The following is a 23,209-nucleotide window of genomic DNA, read 5'->3' as shown; positions in this document are numbered from 1 at the left end:
GGAAAAAAAGAGGAAAATTTGTGGTTTACTAAAATTTAAGAACTATATTTTAAAAAATCTAAACTGACTAACACCTTTCATGACTGAAACATTTGAAAGAAACTAACATTAGTGGCATTATTAATGACTAACAAAACAATTAATATTCTTATGAAAAGTATACAGGGTGAATTTATCACTATCATCTATGAAAAAAATCTCACACACACTATGTATGTAAATGTGAGAAAGTACAAAATTATTTTTGTGGATATACGATAGTTTCAGATAAAATTATTATGACTGGAGTCATTTTTTACTTCCCCAAAGTCACAGTTTGGTGTGATATGTTGCTGTAGTTCATTGTCCATTATTCATACAATCAGAATTGATAATTATACCAAAAATATTATCTCTAGATTCATCAAAACACTTTTAGATCATATTATGAGTCAATAGGTTAACTGTTGCAGATTAAAGGAGCTGCAGATTAAAATTTAGTATAGGAAAAATCATAAGTCTGAAATCAATTTCCAATTATCTTATGTCCAAAGAAGATACATTTTTCTTTGTATGCCTTACAATAGCACTTACTTTACATTCTTATTAAGTGAGAAGAAACAAATGTGAGAATGGGTTGTACACACTACTGAAATGACTGAAGGTGGTACTAAGAAAATAATTTCATTAGAATAGGCTCCATGTCTTTGTACTATATTGATGAGTAGTCCTTGTGACTCATGATAGAAAGAAGACACATCTTTTAAGTAATAAAAATAATATGATTTATTATTATTTGAAATAAAACACTTTAAAAATTATGTGGTTCTGAATGATGAGAAATAAGATGGTCACATTTTTTTCAGAGGGAGAAAAATAAAGCCTTTATTGAGATACAGCAATGACTTGATGGGAAGTGAAAGGGAAGGAGGCAGCAGGTGCATAAGAGAATAAGATTCAAATTATGAAGATGAAATTAGGATGGTATGATCTGCTTTGTTATAGAAAAATATTTACTATCAGATTTTACTCAGAAATTGGCAGGTAAAGAGATTTGTTTCTTGTTTTCTCTAAATGTTTTCCCATCCTTCTATCCTGGTACAGGAAAGATGTCTTACTAAGAACGGTTGGTTGCAATCTTACTATTTCATGTAATAACTGCTTTTCTCCTGACCCATTCGGCTGCAGGCATTTCAGCAAGGGCACTAACACAGAACAACAGCAAAGGTATTACTACTTGGCACTGTGGCATTTACCTGCTGTCTTTTCCATTCTGCAATGCTACGTATCGATCTGTGGTCCTTTCACAGACATATGTATTCCTTCTTGCCATGCTACCTCCAGAATACACATTGTTCTTCAAGAATAAAAAAAAGGCAATTAAAAAATTATAAATATATTTGTGGAAAGCCAAAGAAATGTATTTAAGCTGACTTTGAGAAAAATCCACAGAATTTTAATTGATCAGAATCTTATATTAACAAGATTATCCCCTGCCTCTCTCTAATTTAGATTTCAGAAGTAAAAGACAAAGCATCAAAAATGAACTCATTACAGTTTTAGCTTATCCTCCTATAATAGCAGCCAGCAGTTTGGAAGCAATAGGAGAGCTGGGTTTCTATTCACTCCCTCCTTTGTGAGCTGGTGGTAGAGAAAGGGCAGGAGCAGGGGTGTGAGCAGCTCTAAGTAACAAGGAGTGCAAGCCAACTCCACACTAAGTATCATCACCAACAGGAGCCTCGGGCAGTGAAGATGGCATGCCCACTCAGAAGCCAGTGGGCTGCCTTTCTTCACCTGCTTGGGAAACTCTCTCAACCACCAGGAATATTAAGCAGACTAAATGCCCCAGGATCAAAGGCATGTCCAGCTGAGGCCACCAACAGTGGTGTGTGCAGTGCCACCCTGAAGATATTTCCTCGAGTCTCAGGTTTGAGCTAGAAGGCAGGCCAAGTCTGAGGAGCCTTGGAGAGAAGAGAGAAAATAAGCAAAAAGGGATAGGCAGGTAATTCTCCTTACCATGCACACAACCTTTGACCTGTAACCCACTGTTGTGCCTGCCAAATCCTTGACTACTCACCAGTAATAAAATATACAGAAATGATTTTCAATGTGGATATAATACTCTTCTGTTTAATCCTTACCCAACAGAACAAAAATTTTTGCTACTTTTGACTAACCCAGCATTTAAAATATATAAGCAACCTAAACATTGTTGAATCATGAGGGCTACAAACTTAATAGATACTTGCTTGAATTCACTTTGAAGAAGGAAAAAAACTCATATAAACAAAACTGAATACAGATTTAAAATTTTTCAGTAGTGCAGGTTCCTAGATGGAAGGAATTTTGTCACCAGTTATATAAAAAGCATATGCTAAAAACTATAAAAGTATGGTAGCAAAACAGGCTAAGATTATTAAAATGTTTAGGTAAGACTTGGAACATGTAGGCCAATTGTGATGGCTCATGCCTCTAATCCTAACACTTTGGGAGGCCTAGGAGGGCAGATCATTTGAGGCTAGGAGTTCAAGACCAGCCTAGGCAACATGGCAAAACCCCATCTCCACAAAAAATACAAAAAAATTAGCTGAGTGTGATGGCACACACCTGTAGTCCCAGCTACTCGAGAGGCTTAAGTGGGAGGATTACCTGAGCCCAAGAACTTGAGAAGAATACAGTGAGCTGTGATTGCATCACTGCACTCCAGCCTGGGCAACAGAGTGAAATCCTGTCCCCCAAAAAAAAAAAAGACTTGGTCCATGTTATTAAGGCAAAGAAAATTGATTCGATTATGCAGACGCATTATGAAACTAACTTACACAAAAGTTCTCAAAAAACTAGAAATGTCATCCGTATTTCACAGTTTGAAAGAAATTGTTTCATTACCTGCTTTCCCATTTAACATGTCATTAACATCTATCCACATCAAGTGATACTAAAGTTTTACAGCTGTAGCCTATGCAACTGTACAGACATACCATATTTTATTTTAATCAATAAATTCCTAATTTTTGAACACTTAAATTATTTCCTACTTTACTCTTAGAAGCTACTAATATTTAATTCCCTAGAAATTAACTGGAAATTTGAAATCTAGAGGACAAATCTTAGAAATACGTAATAGGAAACAGGAAAAACACCCTGGGCAATTATTAAAACTGCACAGGATTACTGAAAAGCTGTAAAATCACCCCATGGGCACCAAATGTACCAATATAAAAATATTTGCTTTTGATAATCTCATAATTTTGGCCAAACTGTCATATGAATAACTTAATTCCTTGTCAAATCATGCTACCATACATCTTCTAGAAGCCTCTAAAATGTTTCTGGCTATTCTCAATGACATTTCTTTCCTTTTCAAAGGCTGATGGTGAATGGGATCTCTCCTTCCAAGCTGTGCCTCTGAATTTGTGCTCCTCCCACTCTACCTCCCTTGCCTTGGGGCTTCAATGCCAGTGACATTCAGGTATGGCAACCATCAGTTGTATTTCCCCAAGGAAATTTAAGATACAATTATGCAAAAGTTATGGAAACACAGTGTCACTGCTTCCATTTGTCATACATTCATATAAAACTAACTTTTATAGCTGACTTTCCTAGTTCAAATAAAAAAGATCTAGTTATCACTAAGCAGGTAAGGTTCTTTCTGCTGAGGATTTGGGAACTAGGTGGAAAACTACCCTTGCAGACTCTTAAACTGTAGTTTGGTAACTTCCCCAATGTGGAAACCAACCATGTAAACAACTTTTTGGGGGTTCTTTCACAGTAAAGTGATATTTTATATAATTATACCATAAGTTTATATACAGTATTTTATACTTACTATAGCATTCTTAATCTTTTTGAGTCTTCCTAAAAGAAATCTCTTCTTCCCCTTATTTTTTAAAATGTTGTTTCTTTTTTTTTTTTAATTTTTAAATCTTATTTTATAAGTTCCAGGGTACATGTGCAGGATGTGCAGGTTACATAGGTAAATGTGTGCCATGGTGGTTTGCTGCACCTATCAACCTGTCACCTAGGTATTAAGCCCAGCATGCAATAGCTATTTTTCCTAATGCTCTCCCGCGACCTCCGCCCTCCTCTGAAAGGCCCCAGTGTGTGTTGTTCCCCTCTCTGTGTCCATGTGTTCTCATTATTCGGCTCCCACTTATAAGTGAGAACATGTGGTGTTGGTTTTCTGTTCCTGCATTAGTTTGCTGAGGATAATGGCTTCTGGCTTCATCCATGTTCCTGCAAAGGACATGATCTCATTCCTTTTTATGGCTGCATAGTAGTCTGTGGTGTATACGTACCACATTTTCTTTACCCAGTCTATCATTGATGGGCATTTGGGTTGATTCCATGTCTTTGCTATTGTTAATAGTGCTGCAATGAACATAAGTGTGCATGAACCTTTATAACAGAATGATTTATATTCCTTTGGGTATATACCTAGTAATGGGATTGCTGGGTCAAATGATATTTCCAGTTCTAAATCTTTGAGGAATCACCACCCTGTCTTCCACAATGGTTGAACTAATTTACATTCCCACCAACAGTGTAAAAGTGTTTCTCTGAAACCTTGCCAGCATCTGTTGTTTCTCGACTTTTTAATAATCACCATTCTGACTGGCATGAGATGGTATCTCATTATGGTTTTGATTTGCATTTCTCTAATGATTAGTGATGTTGACCTTTTTTTCTTGTTTGTTGGCCATGTGTATGTCTTCTTTTGAGAAATGTCTGTTTATGTCCTTTGCCCACTTTTTAATGGGGTTCTTTTTTTCTTGTAAATTTGCTTAAGTTCCTTGTAGATTCTGGATGTTAGACCTTTGTCAGATGGATAGATTGCAAAAATTTTCTTCCATTCTGTAGACTGTCTGTTCACTCTGATGACAGTTTATTTTGCTATGCAGAAGGTCTTTAGTTTAATTAGATCCCATTTGTCAATTTTTGCTTTTGTTGCAATTCCTTTTGGCGATTTCATCATACAATCTTTGCCCATGCCTGTGTCCTGAGTGGTATTGCCTAGATTTTCTTCTAGGGATTTTATAGTTTTGGATTTTACATTTAAGTCTTTACTCCATCTTGAGTTAATTTTTGTATAAGGTATAAGGAAAGGGTCCAGTTTCAATTTTCTGCATATGGCTAGCTAGTTCTCCCAGCACAATTTGTTAAAATAGGGATTCCTTTCCCCATTGCTTGTTTTTGTAAAGTTTGTTGAAGATGAGATGGTTGTAGATGCAAGTTTTATTTCTGAGTTCTCTATTCTGTTCCATTGGTCTACATGCCTGTTTTTGTACCAATACCATGCTGTTTTGGTTACTGTAGCCTTGTAGTACAGTTTTATGTCAGATAGCGTGATGCCTCTGGCTTTGTTTTTGCTTAGGATTATCTTGGCTATACGAGCCCTTTTTTGGTTCCATATGAATTTTAAAATAGTTTTTTTCTAATTCTGTGAAGAATGTCAATGGTGGTTTAATGGGAATAGCATTGAATTTATAAGTTGCTTTGGCAGTATGGTCATTTTGACAATATTGATTCTTCCTATCCATGAACGTGGAATGTTTTTCCATCTTCTTTGGTCCTCTGATTTTCTTGAGCAGTGGTTGTAGTTCTCCTTGAAGAGGTCCCTCACTTCCGTTGCTAGCTGTATTCCTAGGTATTTTATTTTCTTTGTGGCAATTGTAAATGGAAGTTCATTCATGATTTGGCTCTCTGCTTGCCTGTTGTTGGTGTAAAGGAATGCTTGTGATTTCTGCACATTGATTTTGTATCCTGAGACTTTGATATAGTTGCTTATCAGCTTAAGAAGCTTTTGGGTTGAGATGATAGGATTTTCTAGATACAGGATCCTGTCATCTGCAAACCAAGACAATTTGACTTCCTCTCTTCCTATCTAAATGCCCTTTATTTCCTTCTCTTGCCTGATTGCCCTGGCCAGAACTTCCAATACTATGTTGTATAAGAGTGGTGAGGGAAGACATCCTTGTCTTGTGCCAGTTTTCAAGGGGGAATGCTTCCAGCTTTTGCCCATTCAGTATGATATTGGCTGTGGGTTTGTCATATATGCCTCTTACTATTTTTAAGGAACTCAGAATATGTTCCTTCAATACCTAGTTTATTGAGAACATGAAGGGATGTTGAATTTTATCGAAGGCTTTTTCTGTGTCTATTGAGATAATTATGTGGTTTTTGTCTTTAGTCCTGTTTATGTGACTGATTACATTTATTGATTCACGTATGTTGAACCAGCCTTGCATCCTGGGGATGAAGCCAACTTGATCGCAGTGGATAAGCTTTTTGATGTGCTGCTGGATTCAGTTTGCCAGTATTTTATTGAGGATTTTTGCATCGATGTTCATCAGGGACATTGACCTGAAGTTTTTTGTTGTCTGCTAGATTTTGGTATCAGGATGATGTTGGCCTCACAGAATGAGTCAGGGAGGAGTCCCTCCTTTTCAATTGTTTGGAATAGTTTCAGAAGAAATGGTTTCAGCTCCTCTTTGTACCTCTATTAGAATTCAGCTGTAAATCCATCTGGTCCTGGGCTATTTTTGGTTGGTAGGCGATTTATTACTGCCTCAATTTAAGAACTTGTTATTGGTCTATTCAGGGATTCAAGCTATTCCTTTCAGTCTTGGGAGGGTGTATGTGTCCAGAAACTTATCCATTTCTTCTAGATTTTCCAGTTTATTTGCATAGAGGTGTTTTTAGTATTCTCTGATGGTTGTTTGTATTTCTGTGGGGTCAATGGTGGCATCCTCCTTATCATTTGATTGTGCTTATTTAAATTTTCTCTCTTTTCTTCTTTATTAGTCTACCTAGTGGTCTGTTTTATTTATATTTTCAAAAACCAACTTCTGGATTATTGATTTTTTGAAGAGTTTTTCATGTCTCTATCTCCTTCAGTTCAGCTCTGAGCTTGGTTATTTCTTGTCTGCTAGCTCAGGGGTTTGTTTGCTCTTGGTTCTCTAGTTCTTTTAGTTTTGATGTTAGGGTGTTGATTTGAGATCTTTCTAGCTTTTTGATGTGGTATTTAGTGCTATAAATTTCCCTCTTACCATTACTTTAGCTGTGTCCCAGAAATTCTGGTACACTGCCTTTTTGGTCTCATTAGTTTCAAAGAATTTCTTGATTTCTGCCTTAATTTCATTATTTACCCAGAAGTCATTCAGGAGCAGGTCACTCAATTTCCATGTAATTATGTGGTTTTGAGTGTGTTTCTTAATCTTGAGTTCTAATTTGATTGTCCTGTGGTCTGGGAGACTATTATGATTTCAGTTCTTTTGCCTTTGCTGAGGAGTGTTTTACTTCCAATTATGTGATCAATTTTAGAGTAAATGCCACATGGCACCAAGAAAAATGTATATTCTGCTGTTCTGGGGTGGAGAGTTCTGCAGATATCTATCAGGTCCACTTGGTCCAGAGCTGAGTTCAAGTCCTGAGTATCTTGTTAATCTTCTGTCTCGGTGATCTGTCTAATACTGACAGTGGGGTATTAAAGTCTTCCACTATTATTGTGTGTGTGTGGGGGGGGGGGGGTCTAAGTCTCTTTGTAGGTCTTTAAGAACTTGTTTTATGAATCTGGGTCCTTCTATATTGGGTGCATGTATATTTAGGATAGTTAGCTCTTCATGTTGAATTGAACCTTTTACCATTATGTAATGCCCTTCTTGGTCTTTTCTGACCTTTGTTGGTTTAAAGTCTATTTTGTCAGAAACTAGGATTGCAACCCCTGCTTTTTTCTGCTTTCTATTTGCTTGGTAAAGTTTCCTCCATCCCTTTATTTTGAGCCTATGTGTGTCTCTGCACATGAGATATGTCTCTTGAATACAGCACACTGATGGATCTTGTCTTTACCCAGCTTGCCATTCTGTGTCTTTTAATTGGGGTATTCAGCTCATTTACATTTAAGGTTAATATTGTTATGTGTTAATTTGATCCTGTCATCATAATGCTGGGTGGCCAATTTTGCAGACTTGTTAACGTAGTTGCTTCATAGTGTCATCGGTCTGTGTACTTCAGTGTGTTTTTGTAATGGCTGGTAACAAATTTTCCTATCCATGTTTAGTACTTCCTTCAGGAGCTCTTGCAAGGCAGGCCTGGTGGTGGCAAAATCCCTCAGCATTTGCTTGTCTGAAAAGGATTTTACTTCTTCATTTTTGAAGCTTAGTTTGACCAGATATGAAATTCTGGGTTGGAAATTTTCTTTAAGAATGTAGAATATTGGCCCCCAATCTCTTTTGGCTTGCAGGGTTTACACTGACAGGTCCACTGTTAGTCTAATGGACTTCCCTTTGTAAGTGACCTGGCCTTTCTCTCTGGTTGGCCTTAACATTTTTTCCTTCGTTTTGACCTTGGAGAATCTGATGATTATGTGTCTTGGGGTTGATCTTGTGGAGTATCTTATTGGGGTCCTCCGTATTTTCTGAATCTGAATGTTGGCCTGTCTTGCTAGATTGGGGAAGTTCTCCTGGATGATATCCTGAAGTGTGTTTTCCAACTTGGTTCCATTCTCCCTGTCTCTTTTAAGTACTCCAATCAGTCCTTTTACATAGTCCCATGTTTCTTGGAGGTTTCGTTCATTCATTTTCATCCTTTTTTCTCTAATCTTGACTGCCTGCCTCATTTCACCAAGACAGTCTTCAAACTGATAGTCTCTCTTCCACTTGGTCTATTCGGCTGTTGCTACTTGTGTTTGCATCGTGCTGTGTTTTTCGGCTCCACCAGGTCATTAAGCTCCTCTCTAAACTGGTTATTCTAGTTAACAACTGTAATCTTTCATCACGGTTCTTAGCTTCTTTGCATTGGGTTTGAACATAATCCTTTAGCTCAGCAAAGTTCATTATTACCCACTTTCTGAAGCCTACTTCTGTCAGTTCATCCATCTCAGCTTCAGCCAGTTCTGTTCCCTTGCTGGAGAGGTGTTGCAATTATTTGGAGGAGAAGAGGCATTCTTCTTTTGGGATTTTCAGCATTTTCTTGTTGGTTTTTCCTCATTTTCGTGGATTTATGTACCTTTGATCTTTGAGGCTGTTGACCTTTGGATGGGGTTTTTGTGGGGTCTTTTTTGATGTACTTGTCGTTGCTTTCTGTTTGTCTTTCTTCTAACACTCAGGCCCCTCTTCCGCAGGTCTGCTGCAGTTTTCTGGGGGTCCACTCCAGACCGTTTGCCTGGGTATCACCAGTGGAGGCTGCAGAACAGCAGATTGCTGTCTGCTCTTTCCTCTGGAAGCTTCGTCCCAGAGGGGCAGCAACCTGATGCCAGCTGGAACTCTCCCATATGAGTTGTCTACTAACCCCACTTGGGAGGTCTCACCCAGACAAAAAGCACAGTATCACGGACGTCCTTAAGGAAGCAGTCTGGCTGCCCATTGGTGGAGCTGGTGATCTGTGCTCAGGGAATTGCCCTCATTCTGAACGCCCAGACTCTTCAGAGTCAGCAGGTAGGACTGCTTAACCTGAGACCACAGCTGCCCCTCCCCCCAGGTGCTCTGTCTCAGGGAGATGAGAGTTCTGTCTGTAAGACCCTGGCTGGAGTTGCTGGGATTCCTGCAGGGAGGCCCTGCCTGGTGACGAGGGATGGATCCAGGTCCCACCTAAAGAAGCAGTCTGGCCATGATCTGCCACAGCTGCTATGCTGTGCTGTGGGGGAATACAGCCCAGTCCAAACCATGCAGCCTCCCTAACACTGGCAGGGGAAAATCACTGACTAGAGCTGCAGTAATGGCGGTTGCCCCCAACGCTGGGAACTTGGTCATCTTAGGCAGACTCCAGGCTGCTGTGCTGGCCAGTGGGGATTCCAAGTCAGTGGCTCTTAGCTTGCGGGGGATCCATGGGAGGGGGACCCACTGAGTGAGGCTGCTTGGCTCCCTGGCTTCAGCCCCCTTTCCACGGGAGTGGACAAATCTCTTGCCTTTCTGGAGTTTCGAGAGCCACCAGATTATGTAAAAACTCCTGCAGTTCAGTGCCTGTCCAAACGGCTGCTGACAGGGGCAGCTGCCATGGGTCTGCCCAGTTTTGTGCTTGGGACCCAGGGCTCTGGTGGTGTAGGCTCATAGGGAATCTCCCGATCCATGAGTTGCAAAAATCTGTGGGAAAAGCGTAGTGCCCCAGGCAGGCAGCACACTCCCTCACTGCCTCTCTTGGCTCGGGGAGGGAGGTCCCTTTGCCCAGTGCAGCTCCTGGGTGAACCGCCCACCCCCACCCCTGCCGCTTTTCCTTGCTTTTCTTGGGTTACACCAATCACCTAGTTAGTTCTAATGAAAGAACCTGGGTACTTCAGTTGGAAGGGCAGAAATCACTCGCCTTTTGCGTTCCTCTCGGTGGGAGATGCAGACAGGCATTGTTTCTACTCAGCCATCTTTGGCCCTTCCTTCTTCCCTTTATTTTGTAAAAAAATTGATTAATACTTTTCTTAGCGTTCATGTCTTAGTCTGTTTGGGCTGCTATAAAAAAATATCATAAACTGGCTGGCTTATAAACAACAGAAATATATTTCTCACAGTTCTAGAGGCTGTGAGATCAAGATCAAGGTGCAGAGATACTCAGCATGTGAAGGCCCGCTTCCTAGATGGCCATCTTTTTGTTGTGATTTCACACGGTAGAAGGGTAGAACAAGCTCCCTTGGGCCTCTTTTGTAAGGGCACTAATCCCATTCGTGAGGGCCCTCATGACCTAATCACCTCCTAAAGGCCCTGCCTTCTAATACTACCACCTTTAGGGTTAGAATTTTAACATGTGAATTTTGGCAGAGGGTGCAGGGGGCACTAAGATTCATACCACAGTGGTTTACATCATTTTATATTTTGTACTGCTCACACATGTGATAGATAATATGGAAAATACCTTTACAAGTTTTATTGTTTTCTTGATTCAAAAACAGCACAACATATTTGTGTCTTCAAAACTCAACACTTAGCTCCCAAGTTTCTAGGCTAGTCAAGGGTTTTCCCTGAACTCCCACATATAATTTTTGGATGGGAATTTCTAGAAGGAAAATATTAAGTTTGTTTTTCCTGCACCTTACTTACAAATAGTAATACTCTGCTACAGTTTGAATGTGTCTCCTGAAGTTCCTGTGTTAGAAGCTTGATCCCCAATGCAAAAGTGTTGGGAGGTGTGGCTGATAAGAGGTGATTAGGCTCTAGTCTCACAAAGGAATTCTTGTGAAAGTGCGTTAGTTATCTGAGAGTGGCTTTGTTATAAAAAGCATATTTGGCCCCCTCTTATTTTCTTGCATGTGCCCTCTTGACCTCACTTTATGCCACGGGATGATGCAGCAATAATGCCCTCACCAGAAGTTGGCATCTTGATACTGAACTACCCAGCCTCCAGAGTTGTAAGAAATAAATTTCTTTTCTTTATAAAGTATCCATTATGTGGTATTCTGTTATAGCAACACAAAATGAACTAAGAGAGACTCCTTTCATTTCTAGTCTGTGATGGTTGTGGGTGATGAACAATAAAACAGATGACTCAGATAACTAACCAAAACATTTATCCAACCATTATTCTATTTAACTATTTAACTCAAAACTCTCCCCATGCTATCAACTGGCCAGTTTTAAAGATCATCTGCCAGTATCATCCTTCAGTCAAGATACTAAACTAATATTAAATAATACTGTCAATAGAATCATACTTATAAGCAAGAGCTTTTACTATTGACTAAGACAATTCTGATTTTATAAACGTTAAATGTACTATCACCTGTTAATTACCTATGGATGTTATGGGCACTATTTCTTTTTCCATCAGAAAGCAAGGGACCATTTCATGCCATTTGAATGGATTTAATGTTTTCCATTATATTCTACTGACACTGGTAAAAATGTTCATTTGTTCAGGCAATATTTTACACTATTACAGGGCTTGAATTGTAAATGCTCAAGTACTTTCTAAAAATTACCTCAAAGAAAAGGTATTAAAGCTGTGTGTTTTGGCTTTAAAGCAGTGATTAGCAAACTTTTTCTGTAAAGAGTCATATAGTCAACATTTTAGGTTTTGTGGGCCACACCATCAATGTCACCAATAGACAAGACAATGCAAATTGAAAACAAATGGAAACTTTTTTTTTCTTTTTGCCCTTCAGATTGGCAAAAATGTTAAAGATTGATAATATCCTGTTGATGAGTTTGTGGAGAAATAACTACTCTCTAAATTATCCCAACCATTTGGAAAATTACTTTGGTAGCATTTATTAAAAATTTAAATGTATATATTCCAAGGATATACACATAGTCAAGTATACTAAGACACATCAGAGCTGAGGTTTTAGGTGAGGTGAGTGCCAGTGGGGATGGGACTGCACAGACCAAGGGTGACTGTGTCATGGACTGAGGAGCATGAGGAGCCTGCCTCTTTGCCACTGAGGTTAAAAAGAAGTCACATAGACCCAGACATGGAACTTTTGAGAATGCCTCTAATAGAAGTATACCAATAACATAAATGTATAAGGATGTGCACTCTGGAGAATGAAAAACTCTGAACACTTCACCAAAAGAAAGGTTGAATAAATTATATCTATCTGTTAATACCAATGAAATAATATGCATCTATTAAAAAGATCTTGATGTTCCGATCTAGAAGGACCCCCAAACTATTATAAGTGAAATAAATTAAAATGTTACATAGTATGATCTCATTTTTATAAAAAAGTAAAATAAAATAATGCTCTGTGTACATATACATTCACTTATTTATTTTTATTTTTATTTTTATTTTTTTGACAGGGTCTCTCACTCTGTCACCCAGGCTGGAGCACAGTGGTACAACCATAGCTCATAGCTCATTGCAGCCTCAAACTCCAGGGCTCAAGTCATCCTCCCTCCTCAGCCTTCCAGGTAGCTGGAACTATAGGCATGCTGGAACTAGCCTGGAACTACACCAGGCTAATTTTAAAATATTTTGTAGAAATCAAGTTGCACTAGGTTGCCCAGGCTGGTCTCAAACTCCTGGCCTCAAGCAAGCCTTCCTCCATGGCCTGCAAAAGTGCTGGGATTACAGTCATGAGCCACTGCACCCAGCCTATGTTTTCTTTAATGAAGGAAAACCTATAGAAGAATTAATCCTAAATGATTAGCACTAGTTATAATTAGGAGTTCAGACTAAAAGGAAATGGATAGGGAAGAGGAGATGATTAATTTTACTTTAGAAACTCCTATAGTGCTAAAATTAAACAAAATATATTACTTTGGTTTCTCAAACTACCAAAATTAAAACAGTAAATAACAATATATTATAGTATTATGTGGCTAAGAACAGAATTTCTCTATCAAAATCTTTTCGCTTATGTTTTTTTTAAAAAAATGATAAATAAGTGTGACATATTTAATTTGAATTTAAACTAATTTCTTAATTTTTATGCCTTCTTTAATAAATATGCTTTGAATACACACTGTATGCTTCAGCACTAATGACTCTGAGAAAGCTGCTGTGTCAATATACAACAGATTATAAATTTGGGGAGATAAGGTTTACATGGGAAAACAACAGTGAATGAAACAAGACAGCATATAAACAGCTAAGAGCTAAATGACAGGATAAGCAATTGAAAAAGCTGATGGGTTTTGGAGTATTTGGCCATAAAAGATTCTGTCCAGGAGACAAGACTTGAAATGATCTATGGAAATGGAATTTTCATAATGTAAGGGGACTGTTTAGGCAAGGGCACTACATAAAGACAGACATGGAGATAGACAAAGCTGAGTATGTTCATGGAAAAATAAGACTCAGTTCAGTCAAATGACAGGTTAATATTAAATGGTAGAAAGTACGGGACCAATTATTTCTTTCTGCTATGTGGGGTGATTACACTGGAAACTGTCCTCTAAGGCAAATAGTGGCTTCTGTAGCAAAAAAAAAAAAAAAAATTTAAGCCCCATTATAGTTCAATCATTTCTAAACAGATCAGGTAGAAGCTAAGTGGTTTTATCCATCAATTCTTGAAGTGGTTATGCACATCTGTTCCACAGACTAAAAGGTGATAATCTAATCATATCATACATACATATTCAAATATACATAACCATATTCAAAAGAGGTAAGGCTCCAGTGGACTACATAAAATAATGGGTATTAGGGAGTTGAAGCCACTTGGAATTTTGCGCATTTTGGTATCTTATCTTGCATTTGCTATTTAAAGTAATTTTTTTCTCTCCTGTCCACAGGCTGAGGTTTTTTTTTTTTTCCTTCTGCTGGTTTAAAGGTTTTAATTCTTTGTTCTTACATTGTTCACCCTTAAGTTCCTGAACTCATGTTTGCTGCTTACTGCTAATGATTTCTTTCTTTCTTTCTTTTTTTTGGTTTTTGAGATGGAGTTTCACTCTTGTTGCCCAGGCTGCAGTGCAATGGCATGATCTTGGCTCACTGCAACCTCTGCCTCCCAGGTTCCAGAGATTCTCCTGCCTCAGCCTCCCAAGTAGCTGGGATTACAGGTGTGCACCACCATGCCCAGCTAATTTTATATTTTTAGTAGAGACAGGGTTTTATCATGTTAGCCAGGCTGGTCTCAAACCCCTGACCTCAAGTGATCCAGTCACCTCGTCCTCCCAAAGTGCTGGGATTACAGGTGTGAGCCACTGTGCCTGCTCTCTTAACTGCTAATGATTTCTTAAACTTACTCCTATCATCTGCCTAACAAGGCATGTGTTTGTTTATATTTCTTTAATCTCCACCTCTATCCTTATGCCCTGGATACTATTCAGAGTTTTGATTCTGAATTTTCATTATTTTCCTCTTTTTGCTTATGTTACTACATAAAATACTTTAGTAAGTTGATTACTTTCAACTCCTATATATTTTACAGCAACATTCTAGATTCATTTCTCTTCCCGTAAGAATGCTTCCTCCAACTAAGGTGTTTTCAAATGGTCACCGTGTAGTAAAACAGTTGAGACATTTTATGCCAAAGAACATGGTTTTTGTACCTTCATATTTAAATGACAACATGGCTAGATAAGATTTCTGGGCTCAATGAGCTTTTCTTTCAATACTTTAAAAATATGTTTCCCTTTATCTTACTGTATCCATGTTGCTATTGATCAACCTAAGGTCAATCTGAATCTTGTTCCTTTTTTTTTTTTTTTTAAACGGAGTCTCGCTCTGCTGCCCAGGCTGGAGTGCAATGGTGCAATCTCAGCTCACTGCAAGCTCCACCTCCCGGGTTCAAGCTATTCTCCTGCCTCAGCCTCCCGAGTAGCTGGGACTACAGAATCTTGTTCCTTTTAAGGTCGTCTGCGCTGACTCTGGAATCTTTAAAATATTCTTCATCTTTTTTTTGGTATCTATAAATTCTATTTTAAGAGTCCAGGAATAGGTTTTCTTTCTGGCTTCTATTTGTCACTCTGGGTCTTTTCAAAATGAAATCTTCCCTCTTTATTTTTTGTTATTATTTCTTTAACTATTTCTCCTCCTTCATTTTGCTCCCTTTCCTTTCAAAACACCTATTATCTGAATGTTACCAAGTCTTATTTCTACATTTCGTATATCTTAGTTTTCTTTTATATTTTCTTATCTCTATTCTTTCCTGCTGCCTTATGGGAGAGCATCTTCTTCTAGTTCCCATTATATAATTTCTAGTTTGCTGTTTTAAGTGAATAATGTGAGGCAACTTTATAAATTAATTATTTAACTGAGTCTGCCTTCATTAAACAGCTTATTGGTAAATAAAAATGAAATGTGCCAATATAATATTAAATAAACATTATAAAAAGGAAAATGAAGCAGGAAAGTTTCATGTACCATTTTGTGTTGAGGTTAAGTGTTAACGCATGCAAAAAAGAATTCTTTTTTGTTGTTTTTAACTTGCATTTATGAGAAGTGTGGTCCCTTTTGCATGTTCTTTAAATTATAATTCCCTTTAAATTTTTCAATCATTTAAAAAAATGAAAGATAAAAATTTTACACATAACCCTAAAACAAGTTATTACAATAAATTGCAATATACCAGAGTATTTACTCACACTTGGAATAGTTGAAGATTTTTTCCTCTCTGGCCCTACAAGAGGGCTTGCAGTCATCTCGCTTTTTGATCCAACTGTTGTGCTGCCAAGTTTTCGAGCCACATCTTTGTCCCACTCCTCTTTCTGTTCACTTTCCACACTGTTAGCCTGAGGTCTTTTGGTATATGATACAGCAGGAGGAATGGATGGACCAGCTATAATTTTTTTAAAAATAGCATAATGAGCTGAAAAACAACTGATCTACTTTCTGCTCACAAACAAAAACTCTGTATTAAAATTATCCATATTTGCATGCTTTAAACTCTGAACGAAGATTAAATTTTGATTTCAAAAATCAGGTCAGTCCCTGCAAAAGGGATTATATTTATAATTCAGTAATATAAGTCTGTGAGAACTAGATAACACAAGCACATAGAGACGTGAATGTACAATGCTTTAAAAACACAAATTTGGGAAGAACCCGTGTGTTGCTTCACTTATGTGACTTTTTCCCCTACCATGATCACTGAAACGCCGCTGCTTCTGATTTGCTGAGATACTTCTCTGGACCTTCAGGTGAGCAGGGGACTGAAGAGTGCTGTTGTTTAAGTCACTACTGGGCCGGGACCTCTGACACAAGTTTCCACTGGATAACGATTCACCACCTTCAAACTATAAGAAGAAAAACCACAGGGATTTTAAAGCAAAAAAAAAAAAAAAAAAGTTTGCACAAACACTGCACTCTTGATTTTCTAAATGACTTAAAGCTATACAAGAAGTAATCCAAACTGAAAAAACAGTGTAGTATTGGGCCTAGAACTTTAAGTTGGCAAGCAGGAAAAGGGGTGAACTGGATAGAATACGCTTTAGTGACTACTCATAATCTTGTATTATCTTGTACAAATCCTTAGTTTAGTCAAAATACGAAATAACAGCTACCAATTACTGAATGGGTTATTATAGACTAGGCACTGTGCTAAATAAGCTCTTTCTATATGTCACTTTATTTAATCATCACAACAAACCTATGATGTATTAACCTACACTTTATAGATGGAAAAACTGAGGTTAAAAAAGTTAAGGGGCATCACTGAGATTCAAACTTACAATAAAATCTAAAATTTTAAATATACACACATGTATATACACATATGTATGCATATAAACATACATATAGATTTGTTTGGTTTTCTCCACATTTGCAAAAAAAAAATCTGGTTTACTGTTTCTGATCAGGAAATTATATTTATTTAGAACTCAGCATGGTAAACTGCAGGTTGACACACTATCCCTCTCTCTGTAACATACAAGTTGTTTGCTGCCAGCAAACTTTTGTTGGAATCACTGGCATCCCAATAGGAAATCTAAATTCATATATAGATAATACTAATGATAAATCACAGAGCAATACCGATGATAATAAACAGCTAATGCAGAGCACATAATAATCCACTAGAAACTGTTTCAAGTTTTTAAGCACATAATAATTCACTAGAAGCTGTTCCGAGTTTATAAGTACTCATTCATTTAACATTTTCAATGATTCTAAAAGATAAGCACATTATTGCCCTCATTTTATAGATAAGAAAACTGAGGCACAGAAAATTAATTGCCTTAGTTGCATAGTTAGTGGTTGTGCTGGGGTAGGGCAGGGGTGGGGGTGCTTAGATCCAGTGAAGCTGGCTCCGAAGTTCAGGCTCTTACTACTTACCAGTAGCCTCATTCGTTTATATTTGATACAATTCATACTTCATTTAAATTCATGCGTGGCATGGTTATATACTTATAAAATTAGTGCTTCTTTTATATTTAAATTAACAGGAAAATTAAAGACTTCGGGAGTGTACTTTAAAATCTAAGTAGAAACAGTTCAGTTCAAAGCCTTTAGAAATAACCATTCATACTATTTCCCACTTAAAATTCTCTTGACTTGGCTTCTTTGATACCACATCTCTAGCTATTAATGTCTCCACTAAAGATTCTCTTCCATTATAATAGTACCTACCTGGTAGGTTCACTGGGAGGATTGGATTAATTAGTATTTGTAAAGTCCTTAGAACAGTTCCTGGCACACTACTGTGTGCAATGTGTTCCCCTCTAATGAAGACTCCAAATCTATTAATTATTCAAATCTCTCCCTCCAATTCAGATCTTTATATCCAAATGCCTAATAGCTCCATCCAACAGGAATCTCAAATTCAACCAGCTCAAATTGAACTTCCCCTCTTCCCCCTGAAATCTGTACCTTTCCTATCTTGGCAAATGTGCTTACACAGTCTTCCATATTGGAAATCTCATGGGCTCTTATCTCTTATTTCCAACTGGTCGCCAAGTGCTACTGTTAATTCTACTTCTTACATGTCACACAGACCTGCCTTGGTGGGTCTGACCTTAGCCTGTTGTAGGTACATGTCCACCTATATGCTCCCAGAGTATGCTGTGCATCCCCCAAATCAGAACACATACTGTACCATACTATTAACTGCTCACCTCGTCTCTAGACTAAGGGCTCCTTGAGAGCAGAGACTTTCTCGTCCTTCTATTCACAGTACACAGCATCGTTTCTGGTACAATAAAGGTTCAATATATGTCAGCTGGAATGCACTGCTCCATTAACAGTTACTACGGAATTATAAATAATTTCAGCTTTTTCTCTCTAAAATACCTCCCACAGATGTCTAACTTCCAATAAATTGTTAATGCTCTGCGATCTGTTCTTGACTCTCGATGTATAGCCTTTATATTTGTTTTCCTAAAGAATCATTGCTTTTATGCTTCATGATATGGTTTGGATGCTCTGTCCCCTCCAAATCTCATGTTGAAGTGTGACCTCCAATGTTGGAGTGGGCCTAGAGGGAGGTATTTGAGTCAGGAAGGTGGACACTTCATGAATGGCCTGGTGCTGCCCTCGTGGTAACAAGTTCTCCCTTTACGGGTTCACGCTAGATCTGGTTATTTAAAAGAGCGTGGCACCTCCCCCACCTCTCACCTGTTCCCTCTTGCCATGTGACATGCTGGCTCCCCCTCACCTTCCATCATGTCTGTAAGCTTCCTGAGGCCCTTACCAGAAGCAGATGCCAACACTATGCTTTGTGTACAGCCTGCAGTACTGTGAGTCAAATAAACTTCTTTACTTTATAAATTACCCAGTCTCAGGTACTTCTTTATAGCAATGCAAAACTGACTAACATAGTTCACCATTTGTATGCAGTTATTTCCTGAATCCATCTCCTTATTATAGTTCTCCTGGCCTTGAGAATTCCCAATTGAAAGCATCAGTCACTTGACACTTTATAAGGCAAAATATCATCAAATAACCTTTCCTGGAGTTACCTCTTTTAAAAATCCTTTAAGACATACATTTTATTTTAAATGCTATCACTTCCTCATGTTTCACTCACTGTCTTTTCTGCACACTTGGAATAACCATATTACCTTTGGTGGGACTGTTACATTTGGATGCACAAGCTGTGTGGGAGGCCATTCTCAAAGGCCAGGCTGTGAATGGTGGCTCTTGGAGCTAAGAAAGACAGTAGACCTATTCTTTCATAAAATCTCTCTTGGTACCCAGAAATACAACCAGTTCATAATTTAACATCTTGATTTTTGAATTCCAATAAATAAGAATGTTAGGGTAGGATCTTTATATTATTTTTGATTCCACAAAGAATATATTAACTAATATATTAGCTCAAGAAATAATTCACAGTAATCTGAAAAGGTGAAAAACTTACTTCAGGTGGTTTTCTACCTAGAAGAATATAAGTAGCCATAACTTCATCATACTTCTGATTTATTAAGGCATCATTTATTTCATCTCGTGCAAAGCCCATGGTGACCATAATGTCTAGAAATTTAAAAAAGAGAAATTTTCTGAAAATGGTTTTATTTTCGTAAACAAATCAACAAAAATGGGCAAGTTTGCCATCTTTGAATATGAAAACTTAGTCATGAAAATTTAAAGTGTAGTTTTAAAAACTTCTGGACTATTAACCTACGGATACCATATGTTCACAGATATTGTACAATGATAATTTTACATGCAGAAATTACCTACATCATGGTTAATATATTAATGGGCCCACTTAATTTCTCATTGCCTAATACATTCCTGAGCTAACTTTCTTTGTCCAGTCTAAGACCATGTCAGTCTTTGTTACACACAAAATTCTCTGTCTTTCTCTCAATTCGTCCTCAGCTACTAGTGAAGTGGTTTCTTTCATCTCTTAAAATTTTCTGCTTTCTGATTTGCAGTAGGTTGACTCTTCTTTGGGAGATTTGAATTTCCATGGTTTTTCTGATCAGGTTCCTAACACCCTAAAATGCTCTCCCCTGCCACTCTGCCCTCAAGCCAGATAGGAACACAGTTGAGATGACTCAGCTGAGACTAAATGATGGCTTTGGGAAGGGATTGTGAAATGAAGAGAACAAGTTAGAAGGAGAGCTCTGGTTGGGTATGGGCAGTAGCAGGACGAGTGAGGAGGGAGAATAAACATTGCTAAGACAGTGGAAAAAGAAAGGGAGAGCCAAAGTGTTCAACTCTTAATTCGGTGCCTCTATGTCTTTGGTTAAAATACATGCTATGTTCGCTGATGCTTATCAGTCTGATCAGTGCTGATAGTTACATCAGCCATTCCTCCTGCTGGGCATCACTGAAAGGAAAGAATTCGATTTATTTACATTAGGTTTTATATCACTGTTGTCAAACATTGAATTAGACCATAATATATATGGGAACAAATTAGGGAACTTGAAATGTATAATTTTCAGCATATTATCATTAAAATGACAATGCAAGTATTTTTCAAATAAAAATTGCTTCCTATTTATACTCTTAAACACTATTTTGGCACACTAAAGGACTCTTACTTGTTGCCTAGGGACAGCACTTCTTACCATGTTTAAATACTTACCTATTCTTTTTGTGTCATTGAAATCCGGATCAGGCTCAGTATATGGCTTTAGTTCTTCCTCTTCATGACCAACATTCATCCATCGATCTTTCATTATTTGCTAGGAAATAAACTCTACATTATGTGTGGTCAATCAGAACATTCAGCCACTTATTATAGCTCTATTTTAGCAAATGTAAAATTACTAGTTCACTCAAGAAGTTTCATGTGACATTTCTAGTTTGATTAGTGGGCCAAAAAGAGGTGTAAGACTTTGGGACACACACAACAACTATGACTATCTCCCTACACACTCACCAAATGCATTGATTCAAAATAGCATGCCTCTCTTATTCCTTCAAAGGGAATATTTTCAAATTTGGATATTTTAACATAAGAATTTACTTCTTATAAAACAGATTTTAACTTCTGTTTCAGATTTTTACATTTAAGATTAATACAGAGATTATAATTTTTTCCTGTTTTATGCCAAATATATGCCTTATTTTAAAATCATCATTTACTAAAATATTAGTAAAGAAGAGGTCATGGGGAATGAAAATCAGGGTTGGCAGTAAAGCTATCAATAAAGATAGCTAAGATAATGTGGGAAGGGAAGGCAGTCAAAATTTAAGTCTAGAGTTAGGAATTAGGTAAGAATCAAGCTGGGGTTGATGTGAATTACCAGAGTCAGATTAAGCTAAGGCTGTGAAATAACAGACAGTCCTGGGCTGTTAAAAGGCAACCTTGTGGGGGCCAACTAGAGAATGGGAAAAATATTTGCAAAACATATACTGGATGAGGAGTAAATATTCAGAATATGTAAAGAATGCCTGCAACTCAATAACATCAAAACAAATAACCTGAATAAAAAATGGGCAAAGTAATTAACAGATATTTCTCCAAAAAAGATACATAAGTGGCCAACAAGCATGCTTGCTGTGTGAAAAGATGCTCAACATCACTAGTCATCAGGGAACTCAAAACCATAGTGAGCTATCACCTTATACTCATTAGGATGGCCACTATCAAAAAAACAAGAAACAAGTGTTGGTGAGCATGTGGAGAAACTGAAACCCCTGTGAACTGCTGGCAGGAATCTAAAATGGTGCAGCTGCTATGGAAAATAGTACAGAGGTTCCTCAAAAAATTAAAAATAGAACTACCATATGATCCAGTAATCCCACTTCTGGGTATTTATCCAAAAAAACTGAAAGCAGAATATCAAAGAGATATTCAGAAACTTATATTCACTGCAGCATTAGTCACAAAAGCCAGGATGTGGAAGGAACCTAAATGTCCATTGACAAATGAATTGATAAAGAAAATGTGGTACATAAATACAAATAAATATTATTCAGCCTTAAAAAAAATCCTGTTATATGTTACAACATGGATGAACCTTGAGGACATTATGCTAAGTGAAATAAGCCAATCACAGAAGACAAATACTGCATGATTCTACTTATACAGATTATCTAAAGTAGTTAAACTCATAGGAACATAAAGTATAATAGAATGGTGATTGCTGGGGCTGATGAGGGGGAAATGGTGATTTGTTCAATGAGTACAGAGTTTTAGTCACACAAGATGAATGGTGATTGCTGGGGCTGATGAGGGAGAAATGGGGATTTGTTCAATGAGTACAGAGTTTTAGTCACACAAGATGAAAAAGTTCTGGAGATCTGTTGTACAACAATGTACACATAGTTAACGACACTGTGATACACACTTAGAAGTTGTTGAGGGTAAATATATGTTACGTGTTTTTTACCACCACCACCACCAAAAAAAAAAAAAAAAGGCAATCTTGTAGAGAATTTACTATACTCATGGTCAGGCAATGGAAAACTGGAAGAAACTTATTTGAATAATTCTGTATTAATTTAGAAAGATTGTTCACTTTTTATTACTACAGAATTTTAGGTTTTCATTTTAGGTGCTGATATATTAATTGCTTTTTCCAGGTCCTGTAAAGTACATTCTCCATCTTTAAACTTTACTTGCCAATATTCCACTAATTAGAAAAATAACTTCCCATATATATATCTTTTGAAGGCTAATTTCTTGACTGCCCAGGTACCTTCCCCTCATTTATTAATATCTACCTAAAGCTAATCACCAGAAAATAAGAAATCCAGGGAAGATCTCTAACAACTGGAATCTCTTAAGAATACTGCTGTGCTGGATTGGAGGCTTTTCCAGCAGTCATCATCACATGATTTTTTTTTTTTTTTTTAAAGACAGGGTCTCACTATGTTGCCCAGGCTTGAACTCTTGGGTTCAAGTTATCTGCTTGCCTCGGCTTCCCAAAGTGCTGGGATTATAGGCATGAGCCACCATGCCCAGCCACATGATACATTTTTAAATTAAACTTTCTAGAGAATTCATATTTTCTTGGAAGGCTAG

At 37.5% G+C, this 23,209-nt stretch overlaps 1 protein-coding gene across 10 annotated transcripts in view; it reads right to left on the bottom strand.

Moving 5' to 3' along the window:
- The window catches only part of MARK1 (microtubule affinity regulating kinase 1), a 136,326-nt gene that overhangs the window by 12,506 nt on the left and 100,611 nt on the right, over positions 1 to 23,209 (bottom strand). For all 10 annotated transcript variants that reach the window (XM_017001305.3, NM_001286124.2, XM_005273134.6 and 7 more), the window contains 5 exons: positions 20,822 to 20,921; positions 19,643 to 19,755; positions 16,427 to 16,580; positions 15,930 to 16,123; positions 1,236 to 1,336 (listed from right to left, as the gene is read on the bottom strand). In XM_017001305.3, the coding sequence (XP_016856794.1) occupies positions 1,236 to 1,336; positions 15,930 to 16,123; positions 16,427 to 16,580; positions 19,643 to 19,755; positions 20,822 to 20,921 (662 nt within the window). The remainder of the gene's footprint in view (positions 1 to 1,235; positions 1,337 to 15,929; positions 16,124 to 16,426; positions 16,581 to 19,642; positions 19,756 to 20,821; positions 20,922 to 23,209) is intronic.

The sequence above is a fragment of the Homo sapiens genome, chromosome 1, assembly GCF_000001405.40.
Source record: "Homo sapiens chromosome 1, GRCh38.p14 Primary Assembly".
NCBI classification, from domain to species: Eukaryota; Metazoa; Chordata; class Mammalia; order Primates; family Hominidae; genus Homo; species Homo sapiens.
The sequence above is the reverse complement of the archived record's forward strand: the minus strand, read 5'-3'. Positions and strand labels throughout refer to the sequence as shown.